The sequence below is a fragment of the Homo sapiens genome, chromosome 10 (assembly GCF_000001405.40).
Source record: "Homo sapiens chromosome 10, GRCh38.p14 Primary Assembly".
NCBI lineage: Eukaryota > Metazoa > Chordata > Mammalia > Primates > Hominidae > Homo > Homo sapiens.
Window position 1 is genome coordinate 21,971,874 of NC_000010.11, and position 13,530 is coordinate 21,985,403.

The window sequence follows — 13,530 nt, forward strand, 5'->3', positions numbered from 1 at the left end:
GAATGTGTCATGTAAACAGATTTCAAATATGTAAGAAATTTCCAATTCTCAGAAAAACTCAAAAATTGGACTCTATAATTTAAGCTCACCCTCTCTCACCCCACTTTTCCTTTATCCTCTTTATTTTGTATATATCTGCATAAAATTAAAAACTACATTCTACTGTAGTGGTTTACTGATATGGAGTGTGACCTAGTCTTTGTTTTGCTTTCAAGGGGACTTTTGTAAAATATAACATAAATTACTAAAAGAATGAAATTACAAAACAAAGACATATAAAATATAACTCCAAATATTGTTATTAGATTCCATAGGCATGCAATTACCATGTAAAATTGCTATAAAATTTTCTAAATGTTTATTCTCAATTTCCATACTTATTTTATTGCAAACAAGTAACAAACAATCTGCAAACCAGCATGAGTCCACAGACCATATTTTGAGTAGCACTGCCTCAGGTAGGGATCAAGAAAGACATTACACAAAAAATATTAATGAGGAATTCATAGTTAAAGCTTTAAGTGATATATAATCTATAAATTTTCTACTTGAGTATGTATTTAAATCTAAAATAAATGCAACAATATAACTTTCTTCTCAAAATTAGCAGCAGCTTTATCACATTTGAAGACAAACAGAGTTTGAAGGATATTTGAACATGCAATTAATTTAAATAAGAAAAAAATTTGGCCTTGAAGATAAAATAAACTCTACAAGTTAAATTAATCTAATACTTTTCCCTTAAGAGTAACACTGGTTGTTAAATCGGTCCTATAAATAATTCCTATTTGTCCAGTATAAAACATTACTTGTTCTAAATGAGTGATTAGGAGGTTACAGCCATGATTCACATAAAATGAACTGATGATCACCCACTGGTTTTAAAACAGAACTATTTCTGCCCTAACTACTACTGGAGGAGTTGCTGATATATTTCCTGTTCTACACCAAGAAACTGAAAATAGGGTATTTCAGGTTGAAAATAGAACCAGAGAACCTAAATACAATAATATTTTCCAATAAAATGTCTTTGATTCAAAAGAATAGAAAGCTGAAAGGCCCTTCAAAATATGACACCATTTTTCAAATCAGCTTCCAGCTTTGTTTACAACTTTATAAATCACATAGTTAACTGAAGTAAAGAAATACTAAAAACTGATAATTTGTGAATAAGCCTTAAGGAAGCAATAAATCCAGAAATGAAATTAATAAATACATATTTATATTTACATTACCTAAATAACAGGGCTGTTATGGGATGTGTATTCTGGTTTATCAATTCTGTAAAAATCAAAATTTCTATGACCAAAGAAGAAAACTTGTTACTTCCAATATTTGAACTGTCATAATTACAGCAGCAGTCTTTCCTATGTGACTCCTGAAGGCAAATGTAGCACCAATGAATGAAACTGACAGTTATTAGGTTAAGTTTTAATAACCACACTAACAATGAAAATGGCCGTCTATGAAGAAAGTCCTATATTTCTATTACCAGAGAAAATCCAGCTGAAGGTACATAACCAATGATTAGATTAAAATTATTTTCAAATGTTCTATTAAATACCAAGACTCTATTGTTCTATTGTGATCCTAGCAAAGGGATAAATATTTCCTAGCACTTGGCTAGAACCCATCTTCTCTTATACAACAGATGAAAATGATAACTTTTTGCTGAAATGAATCTAAATTGCTGAAATGAGCTGTATCAGTATTCCTCAAATATGCAGTTGTACCTGAAGTTAATCATATTGGGTAAAAGAACTGTGTTTCAAAACAAATGTGTGAAAAACCTGAATGTGCATAGTTAACAAAATTATTTTTGGTAATTATTTACTAAGGCTGCATAGTTTTATGCTCACTACTTAAAAAAAAAAAAGAAAAAAAGAAAAAAGAAGTGTTAGAAAAGATCTGGAGATGAAAGTTTCTCTAGCTTGAAATATGATTTTTGGCCAGGTGCGGTGGCTCACACCTGTAATCCTAGCACTCTGGGAGGCCGAGGAGGGTGGATCGCCTGAGGTCAGGAGTTCGAGACCAGACTGGGCAACATGGTGTAACCCCATCTCTACTAAAAATACAAAATCGGCCGGACCTGGAGGTGCGTGCCTGCAATCCCAGCTACTTGGGAGGCTGAGGCAGGAGAATCACTTGAACTTGGGAGGCAGAGGTTGCAGTGAGCCGAGATCACGCCACTGTACTCCAGCCTGGGCAATCGAGTGAGACCCGTCTCAAAAAAAAAAAAAAGAAAAAAGAAAAAAAGGAAAAGAAATATGATTTTCAATAGTAACCTACCAACCAGATAGGTCTTAACACTTTTCTTTTCAGTAATGAGGAAGTTAGGCTCAACCTAACCAGTTAAAATGAAAATTTAAACAAAATGGAATTTTCACCCTCAAGAACATAGGAAATGTAGAAGTCTGACTAGAATGTCAAATACCGATTAGGGTATGGGGAGTGAAATCAGTACGGCCATTTTGGAAAGTAATTTTGCTATGTCTAGGAAGATTCAAAATACTATGTAACCCGTGATGCAGCTAACCCATTCTGGGTACATAATCCAGAGCCGATTAAGATGCACAGCACAAAATTTATGATTAAGATACACAGCACAAAATTTATTTTGTATCACACCATAAACTTTTTTATTGAAACCTACAGTAGGAAATACATTTTATATCACAACTCAGAACACAATTACATATATTTCATGAAAAAGTAAGTACCTTTTACCCTGACACTTTGTACTGCATTCTATTCTGAAAAGTACAGACTCCAACTTACTACACTGCCTTCGTTACCTGCTGTTTGGAAAACACTGCTCTAAAAACCTGTAGCAATATATACAAGACAACATTTATAAGGTTGTTCACTGTGATATTGTTTAAAATGGAGAAAAAACGATGTTACTTACATATTCATTAATAGGTAGATAACTGCAAAATACAATGTAATATTATGAAGTAATTAATGGTTTAAAGTAGATTTCTCTATGTAATGTAATATGTATACTTCTTATGTAATATGTATACATCTTAAAAATACAATGCAGGGTGAAAAAAACAAGAAAAAATGTTCCCAGAATATCATTTATGTAAATTTCTAACAATATCATATTATGTTTATGAATATATATACACAGATATAAAATTATGAAAATGGTATGGAAGTATATATTTTAATATATTAACTCACAGTGGACTAGGGGTACTCATACAGTATAGGCTGGTTAAAGAGGACTTCAGCATTATATATGTAATGTTTTCATTTTTGAAGAGCTATTTAAATGTTACTTTAAAATAGTTATTTGAAAGAGTTGCAGCAAGTTCTGAGAATTTACTTGGTAAAATGGGAGTAGAGGCGAGAAGAAATGAGGTATAAAGGAGTAGAACCAGGTTATTAATATCCCAATGCTCAAATCAATGAATATGAGAAAAAAATAAGCTGCAATAAATAAATAAATAAATAAATGAGAAAGAGAGTGAGAGAGAGAGACCAAAATCACAGACTAAGGAATTATTAGGGAGGTATATAGCAATAGCTGGGGGAAAAAACATGAAGTGGGCTGAAAAGGCAGGAAGAAAAGGCCTAACAACTGGTAAACTGATCCATTCCTCATTGGTGGTTCAACTGTATAAATAAAAGGGTGGCAGCTTAGCGGGAAAGTACTTAGCAACTCTGTTTACACAGACAATAGAAAGTGCCACTAGAGTGGCAAATTGAACTGTGCAAGGCCAATTAACCCTTTCACCTTAGTGTTTCATACTAGCTATCTTACTTACTGTCCCTCTGTTAGATCTACACTGATAAGTGTTAGGACCAAATGCAATTATAAATCATTGTTACATGTATTGATGAATTCTGCAAATTCCATGAAGCACATTAATTTTACTTAGTGTTCTGAATACCTTCTTTGCTGCTCTCATCTGGTTTTAATTAAGAAACACTTTCAAAGGAAGAGAGGTTATCCAGAAACTCAAACTACACATGTCCTTCATTAAACTATGAATTGATTACTATTCAACTTTTTTGGCCTAAAGGTTTTTTTAAAAAGTTAGATTCACCTCAAGTTTCTTCTAGATAAATTATGGGAAAATTAGGGAAAGAGTAACATATTTAGATGGGCAAAAATATAATAGGGAAATCTTAAAATGCACTGAAGAGGTCCATAAATTAGCTGCTGCATAAGCAGCTTTATCTATATTACAGTTTATTACTTTTAAGAGAAACTTTGAATCTTGAAGGACCATACAATAAGATTTTTTTTCAAAAGACAGTAATAGATTTATTGCTGGAAACTGTATTCATCTTCCTGATTCCAAAATACAGTCATGTATCTTCTTTATCCATATTTGAGAACCAGGATCAAATTTTTACATAGCCTACAAAATCTAGAAAAGTATATACCAACCAGGCATGCAACATTTGGTAATGAACATATTGTAAAATGTTGGCATATGTAAAAGGCTTTGATTCTATGAGGTAGGGCCAATAATAAAAGCATGTGATTGTTCAGTCGTAAACTAAGGCAATCCATACAAACATTTATTAACTGTTACACTGTCTTTTCCCTACTACCCACAGGTCCTGAAAGTACCAACATCATCCCACTGTCATCTGAAATTACATGCCACATCTTCTTCTGGCCAGTTATTTGTCACTGAATCTTTGTAGTAATAATTCCTAAGACGCTAGTCAAATAATAGGAAAATGCCAACAGACCATATTAGTGGGGGAGAGTTAAAAGGAATATGTACATACTGTATTTCTTAACCCATCAAAAATCAACAGAAGTCTGAAAAGGTTACCCTTGCATTTTAGGAGTAAGCGATGTTTTCCAGTTCTGTTTTTTTTCTCAGCTCTTCCCACTAAGCAACAAAACGCAAACGAGCTAGAGAATTCTGCCTTCCTTATGCTACAGAGGCTATGTTTAATGACTCCTGTGGCCATGTTAAAATCAGTGGAGGAAGAGACAAACACTGCAGCTTCTGCCTTTCTCTAAGTCTTCTTGAATGCCGCCGGCCCACCCACTAGGCTCCCCTATTTCTCTTTTCTTCCGTAACAACAACAGCACAAACATTGCAAAAGCAACCAATCAAAACAAGTAGCATCAGTAAAGGGGCAATGGGGCCAATGGTAAGCAACAGAAGCAAAAAGCAGTGACAGTCTCCAATTTGCTCTCATCAATGAGTCAGAGCATACTAAGGCTTCTTTGTACGTAGGTAGAGAACATGGTGGACACTCACACTGCTGGCCTCTTACTCTCCCGGCAATTCTCACAAACACAAAAGTAGAATCCTAGGACTCAGTACTTAAATACCAGAACAACATTCAAGACCTTATCTTAGCAATTTTTTAAAAAGAAAACTACCACACTTAAGAAATGAAAAAAACACACACACACACACAAAATGACTATGCAAGTAAACTTTTATTATGTAGCTAAAAGCTGCAATTTAGATAGTCTAATTAATCTACAAAGCTCAGTTTCTATAAAACAACTATTAGCAGGTTTTCTTCAAGAATTTACTCCTTATTTTGTAGACATCCACGTGAACTAAAATATGAATCAAAATAACAACTCTAAAGGAGAAATAATTTCCCAAAGTAGTAATTACTAACTAAACCCAAGAAAAGACTTGTGTGGCTTAAAGAAGTACAGATATCTCTCTATTTATAGGCTGAACACCCTAATTCCAGAAGCCAATTTTGAACTTGAGTTTAGAATTGATTCCCAGTGCAGGGGACCAAAATATACATGCCCAGGCGCCAACAGTCAATTATTAAGCTTTTTTCACATTAAATAAAAGAAAAACATCTTAACACATCCAATACATATTTAAGTTAAGAGTCAGGAGGCTTATGTTATAGTGCAACCCTGCATATGAACATTATATTATTTTAAATCCCCACTTCCCCACCTGGATAGTGAGGGTTCCTAATCAGTGTTTTCTCTCTTTTGGAAAGCTGATGTGATTGTCTAATATAAAAATTCTTTGAAAAACCTACAGAAAAATAATAAGTAAATTTCTTTTCAAAGTGACAAGGGAAAAAAAATCTATGCCCAAGATATTTTTCTACATTTGTACATCAAACCAATATTTAGATGATATTTAACAGCAAAAAGTTTTTTAACAATAAGAATGTCTGTTTTTTATATAGGAGCATTTGACTTATTTTGTAATTTAGATAAGCTTCAATAGTTTCTCTTCCTAAAGCTCTTTCACTCCTCACAAGTTCTTCCATCTATCTCATTCCTCATCATCCAAATATATATAGATTTTTCTTAACTTTTTAAATAGGTAATACAATATTCAAAAAGTACTTATGAACATAAAAGTTCCTGGCAACCAGTCACCCAGAAGCACATCTCCATCAAGAGGGAAATTTGAACAGAGGGAGAGAGAAACATGCAACAACATGCAAACTCTTTAAGAATTTCCATTATTTCTTGAAGCAACATTTTGTAGAACTAATACACTGATAAAGTATAGAATTTGAAAGCCTCTCCTTTCAGTAAAGTGGGAAAGTCGATTAGCAAGTGAAAAGATTGGCTCAGAACCTAGTAAGACAGGGGTCAGCAATTTCTTAAGCTTGAAGTGCTTTCAGTAAAGCCAGACAATGCTAGGGAATAGCACACACAGGCCTAGTATTTACAGACAACATGTGGCAGTCTATCAGTTGATTACATTTTGTCTTCCAATACTATCAAATTATTTCCTGTATGTAAAAGGCAGGAATCCTACATTTCTGTCAAAGATTCCACAAAACCTGGCAGTGCTAGTGACTACTAAAGTAGATGAAGAAGTAGAATGAGTCACAGGAAAAAGAGGGAAAAGACTGGAAACATACACAAACTTCCCACAAGAGCTGATACAAGACCCAAGAATCCTAAGGTAAAAATACTTTTAAAAACTGTATCATGAAGCCACCATTTATTCAGAGTCTGTAAATTCAGTAAGTGATATGTTTATACAATGTTATCAGAAACATCTAAGGCTATAAAAAATACATATATAGGAAATACCGACTCTGGCTAAACACACTGTCACTGAGGTGTAATCGGTTACTCAGATTATTACAGATTAATTACCTCTATGACTTTTTTAATTTGAATGATCTTATATACAATTAGTAAACAGCGGAATGATATTCTTATAATGCAGAGTTAGGTATGTAAGTTCGACTTGATTTTTTTTTCCCCTGGCACATTCATTTTTTTTTAATGATCCAAGATAAGTTTTCTTGCAATTAAAGACAAAACCTTAGTAAAATATGAAGATCTTTTAAAAAAAACCAGCTAGAAATCTATTAGACGTGCCTTCTATTAATATAAGTAGTAGCTGGTTTTGTGGCTTCAAGAACTTCTATGGTTTCTACTATGTAAAGCTATCTGATCAATCTCTGAGTGCAGCTCAAGAAGCTGCAAAGACATTTCCTTCATTTTCAAAAGGGCTCTTATCTGAATCATATGTATTTTTATTCAACTGATCTAAAGAATCTATATCCCAAATAAGGAAGCATGAGAACAAGGGTTTAAAGGATTTTAAGAACTATGATGCCAGGTTAAAATGCTAGAGGAGATTTAATTGATTTTTTAAAGTATTATTATTTTCATGAGTGCTTATAAGGTTCCACAGATTTTGAACGCTGTACCTCAACCCTATTTTTCCCATAGGTACTGTTATTTTTAGGGTGTGACTTTGCAGAATATGAAGCCATATATGGTTTTACAGTGGGAATACATGTACTTGGATCTGGTCTACCTGGATAAAGTAAGAAATAATGGAAAGTAAACTAAAGACAGAATACCTGTAAAGGAGATATCCTTATTTATAATTTTTCTTTTTTTTTTTTTCACCATGGCTTTACCTTCTGCAAGTCAATCCGGCTAAGGTACAATGGATAAAACGATTATCAAGCTTCTCTTTCTTACCTACCCACAGCAAACTTTGTTCCAGGCCTTTGACACCTTCATTGTTTTTGATAATAATCAAAGCTTTCTGCTCCTATGACTTTTGCAGTCATATGTCAAAACTGCATATGTCTGCTCCTATGACTTTTGCAGTCAAAAGTCCTATGACTTTTGCATTCTGCTTATTATGAATCCTGTTCAGAGTTTATTTTTGTCTTGTTCCCCAGCTTATTTTTCCAGAATCAAAACATTAACAGAGTTGCGGGGCTGGAAAGTCCTTAGGTTATCTAGTCTAACTTTACACTATTCTATATTATTAGCTACAAATATCTACTGACCACAGGGCTAAACAAGTGCTAGAAATGGCAGTGAACAAAAACAGGCACAAAATCCAGATATTGAACAAACTATATACACATATACACACATATATTTCCTAGTTCTGTCCATTAAGAAGTAATTTCCTACAAAGAAATTAACAAAGAGAAAATAGTAATTTTACGGTGGAGAAACCTGGCAGACACTTAACCAAATGATCAAAGTTAACATCATCTGTGATGAGATATATGGATATCATGTGCCTCCTGATACAATACACTGAAAAGGGCACACCACTTCCATAGTATTTATAACAAACATGCATAGTTTGAATTTAATCATGAGGAAATATTAGACAAACCCAAACTGTGGGACACTTTAAAATATAACTGTCCAATATTCTCCAAAAGTGTCAAGGTCAAGAAAGACTGAGGAACTGTCCCAGAGTGGACATAAATGAGATAAAACAACTAAATGTGTGATTCTGCACCAGGAAAAGGATGTTAATGGGACAGCTGGAAAATCTGAATAACATCTGTAGATAACACTGTAACAGTGTTAATGTCCTGGTTTTTATCAATTTATTAAGGTTACATCTGAGAAAGCCAGGTGAAAGGTATATGAGAACTGTATTATTTTTGCCACCTTTTGTTAAGCCTAAAATTATTTCAAAATGAAAAATTATACATAAAAAGTTTTAAAATATATTTCTTAAGTCTAATATTTGAAGTCAGTGATCACATATTTCCTTAGCCTTTCCTTTTCAGACTAAATGTGTTCTTCTTTTTGGGCAAGATTCCCAGAAACCCTACTGTATTTGTAGCTCCCCTTAAAAAAAAATTCAGTTTGTTAATATTCCTCCTTAAGTGTGGTACCAGGAGTGTTTATAATACATTGATGGAGATTGCATTAAATTTCTCATTTTCTGTGATCAAGTCACTCTCTGTTTCTATGTTTATTAATGCAAATTAGAGTTGAATTTTAAAAGCAGATGCATAATGCTGTTGGCCTAATTCAGCATGTAAACAACTAAAACCTGAGTGTTCATCTTTACTGAAGTCAAACCAGATCTCCCCGTTTTATATTTGTGCAAATGATTTTCTCAAGCAAAATGTAGAATTACATTTTTCCCTGATTACTTCCATCCTTTCAACTCATAGTTTACGATGGTATGGAGACCAGTTAGATTATTCTGAATGATAATTCTATCATTTACTCACTTGGCATGTATTCAGCACATACCATTTGCGGTGTACTATAAATTAAGAATCTATTAAAAATTTGCCATGGAATTGAGAGCAGTCATATCTGATTGGAAGAGCAAGCAATGGAGAAAATCTTTAATAATGGGATTAAATTTGGGCTGGGCCTTTAAGAATAGGTAACATTTAAATAGTAAGAAACAATTACAAAATAACAGTTATGATCTTTGAGCCTAACAGATAAGCTCCACAAGTTGTTAGTTTTCTGAGACTGGGCAAGTCTCTGAAATTCAATTTCCTCATTTGTAAAATGGGGAAAAAATGCCTTACTAAGTAGGGCTGTTTTAAAGATTACATGAGATAATATGTGTATTCAAAAACAGCCTTTTCAGCAGACGGTGCCAGGAAAACTGGATATCTGCATGCAAAAGAATAAAATTGAACCCTTACCTTTAACAAAGACTGTCTCCTTGACTAAACTCTAGTCAGGCTCCTCTAAACCATCTTCACAGCTAGGCCTCAACCTTTGAACTTCTATCTCCTCCTTTGCATCGTCCAATTTTAGCAAGAATTCTGCTAAGAGAGTTAAGCCAGAAACCCTACCATTGATATCCGATCACCCTCAATATATCTGACCAAATTCCTCATTCCCCACCAACCCCCAGGCGATACCTGATTACCTTGGCCTGCCTTTGGCAAAAACCTTGTCAAATTGGTTTCACCAGAGACCCCCTTAACTCTGATGTTTCCTCTAATCTTCCATCCACTGACCCTGTTCCTTGGCTATAAATCTCCACTTTCCATGTTGTATTCAGAATTAAGCTTCATTCTGTAACGAAGTCTCTTTTCTCCTACTGCAACTGTTCCTGATTAAAATTTGCTTTTACTGCTTTAACTACTGTCAGGCTCTACTTTTCTTTGACGCCTCACATCATATATATAAATTGACTTAAAAATAGATCAAGGACTAACATAGGAGTTAAAACTATACAACTCTTAGAAGAAAATATATGGGAAAAAACTTCATGATATTAGATTTGGTGATGATTTTTTGATATGACAGAGGTACAGGCAAAAAAAAGAAAAAAATAATAAATTGGACCTCATCAAAATGAAAACCTTTTGTGCATCAAAGGACACTAGTAAGAGAGTAAATAAACAACCCACAGAATGGGAGAAAATATTTGCTAATTATATATCTGATAGATTAATATCCAGAATATATGAATAACTCCTACAACCAACAACAAAAAAATCCAATTAAAAGTGGACAAAGGACTTCAACAGACATTTCACCAAAGAAGACAAATGACCAATAACCCACATGAAAAGATGCTCAATAACAGTAGTCACTAGGGAAATGCAAATCAAAACCACAACAGTTACTACCTCTCACCTATTAGGATAGCTATCATAAAAAAAAAAAAAAAGTAAAAACTAAGTACTGACGAGGATGTGGAGAAATTAGAACTCTTGTACATTGCTGGTAGGAATGTAAAATGGCACAGCAGCTATGAAAAACAATTTGGTGGTTCCTCAAAAAGTTAAATACTGCCTGGGCAACAAATTGTGACCCTTTCTCTACAAAAATTTTTTTAAAAAATTAGCCAGGCATGATGGCGCACATCTATAATCCCAGCTACTTGGGAGTCTGAGGCAGGAGGACTGCTTGAGCCTGGGAGTTTGGGGCTGCAGCAAGTTATGATCATGCCACTCAACTCCAGCCTGGGCAAGAGAGGAAGACTCTGTCTCAAAAACAAAGGAAGTTAAATATAGAATTACTATATGATCCAGCAATTCTTCCTCTAGGTATATACCTAAAAGAATTGAAAGCAGGGGCTCAAACAGATACTTGTATACCAATGGTCATAGCAGCATTATTCACAATAGCCAAAGCTGAAAACCTAAATGTCCAAAAATAGATAAACGGATAAATAAAAGTGGTATATACACGCAATGGAATATTATTCAGCCTTAAAAAAGAATGAAAATTTGAGATATACTACAACATGAATGAAACCTGAAGACATTATGAAGACAAGTGAAATAAGCCAGACACAAAAGGGCAAATATTATATGACTCCATTTATATCTAGTGCTTATAACAGGCAAATTCAAGAGTAAGCAAGTAGATTAGAGGGGCTGGATGCAGTGGCTCACACCTGTAATACCAGCACTTTGGGAAGCCAAGGCAGGCAGATCACTTGAGGCCAGGAGTTCGAGACCAGCCTGTCAAACGAAGACCTGTCTCCACTAAAAATACAAAAATTAGCCGGGTGTGGTGGCACTCGCCTGTAAATCCCAGCTACTGGGGAGGCTGAGGCACAAGAATGACTTGAACCTGGGAGGCAGAGGCTGCAGTGAGCAGAGATTGCACCACTACATTCCAGCCGGGGCAACAGAGCGAGATTCTGTCTCAAAAAAAAAAAAAAAAAAGGAAAGTAGATGAGAGGTTACCAGGAGCTGGTGGGGAGGAAAGAACGGTAAGTTGTTTAATCGGTGCAGAGTTTCTGTTTGGGATGACGGAAAAGTATTAGAAATGAATAATGAAGATGGTTGCACAATGTTGTGAATGTACTTAGTGTCACTGGTTTTTATACTTTAAAGCAGTTAAAATGGTAAATTTTACATTATGTATATTTTACTACAATAAAAAACAAAAAAGCAGTTTACATACTGTACTCACAACTCACATAAGGAGTCAAAAGAAATTTTAGGTGCAGTTAACAGTATGAGCAGTTACTGAGGCCAATAAAAAAGATATATGAAGATTAAAAACCTGAAATTCTATAGACAAAAATATCAAAAGTGGTTTTCTTCTAATGTTTTTAAATTTACTTTTTCTTTGCTTTTACATAAAAAATTTTAATAGAAAAATTACTTAAAGAACAACCCCTCATACAGGTAGGTAAGAACGGTATATCAGAAACTGGCTGCTTATAAACAGAGACCCCAAATAACAGCTTAAAAAATGATAGAAGTCTATTTTTCTCTTACATACAAGAAGAATAGAAGTAAAGCAGTTCCAGGGGCAGTTATGGTCACAAGGACCCAGGCCACTACTATGTCTCTCCTCTTAGCTTCTGAAGGTCACTTCAAGTTGCAAGATATCTGGTACAGTAGCTACATACATCTCATCCAATCCCAGTGAACAGAAAAGAAGGAATAAACAAGGGTAAAATGGTGTGTCACCCTTTAAGAGCTTTACCAGAAGCCCAACCCATGTCTTCTGCTCATCTGCCACCACTACCTGTAAAGAAGGCAGAAAAATGTACTTTTTAAACCCCAATATCCAATAACATAGGAGTTCTACTAAAAGGAGAATGGATAGGTGATTAGTCTGCCATATATATTTAAAATCATTTTTTCTTCTGAAATTTCAGCTTTCAGCATTATTATTTGGGAACTTTTCTAGAAAGTATAAAATCTAATCAAAAGACATAAACATATTAACAAGTCTTTAAGACACTGTACACTAAAGAAATTACATTTTAATGAATATCAAAACTAAAAACATAGTGAGACCAAGTTCTGACAGCATAGATGCAACAGTAGAAATAACCTTGTGTACTCAGTTTACACACAGTTGTGTCTGTGTGTGCATGTGTATGTATGAAGAGGCCAAAGAGTGAAAATGTTTAAATGCTCAGATATATCATAATTCACAATTTAAGTTCTTTTACAGACTAATCTATCAAATAAGACTCAATTTAGAAAATTCTGAAAATTTCCCATAAAATAACGTCTTATTTTTCCAACAGCTTGGTTGAGGTACATTTACATAACATAAAATCCACCCATTATAAGAGTATAATTCATTTTAATAAATTTATAGAGTTGTGCAACCATCACCAAAATCCCACCTTAGAATATTTCTATCATCCTACAGAGATCTCTCCCATCCGTGTGCAATCAATCCCCATCCCCAGACAAACCACTACCCTGCTTTTTTTTTTTTTTTTTTTGAAATGGAGTCTCACTCTGTTGCCCAGGCTGGAGTGCAGGGGCACGATCTTGGCTCACTGCAACCTCTGCCTCCCAGGTTCAAACGATTCTCCTGCCTCAGCCTCCCGAGTAACTGGGATCACAGGCATGCACCAC

General features: G+C 34.4%; 1 protein-coding gene across 4 annotated transcripts in view; it reads right to left on the bottom strand.

Moving 5' to 3' along the window:
* Nucleotides 1-13,530, bottom strand: part of DNAJC1 (DnaJ heat shock protein family (Hsp40) member C1) — a 247,183-nt gene that overhangs the window by 215,326 nt on the left and 18,327 nt on the right. The gene's annotated exons all lie outside the window — the stretch shown is intronic.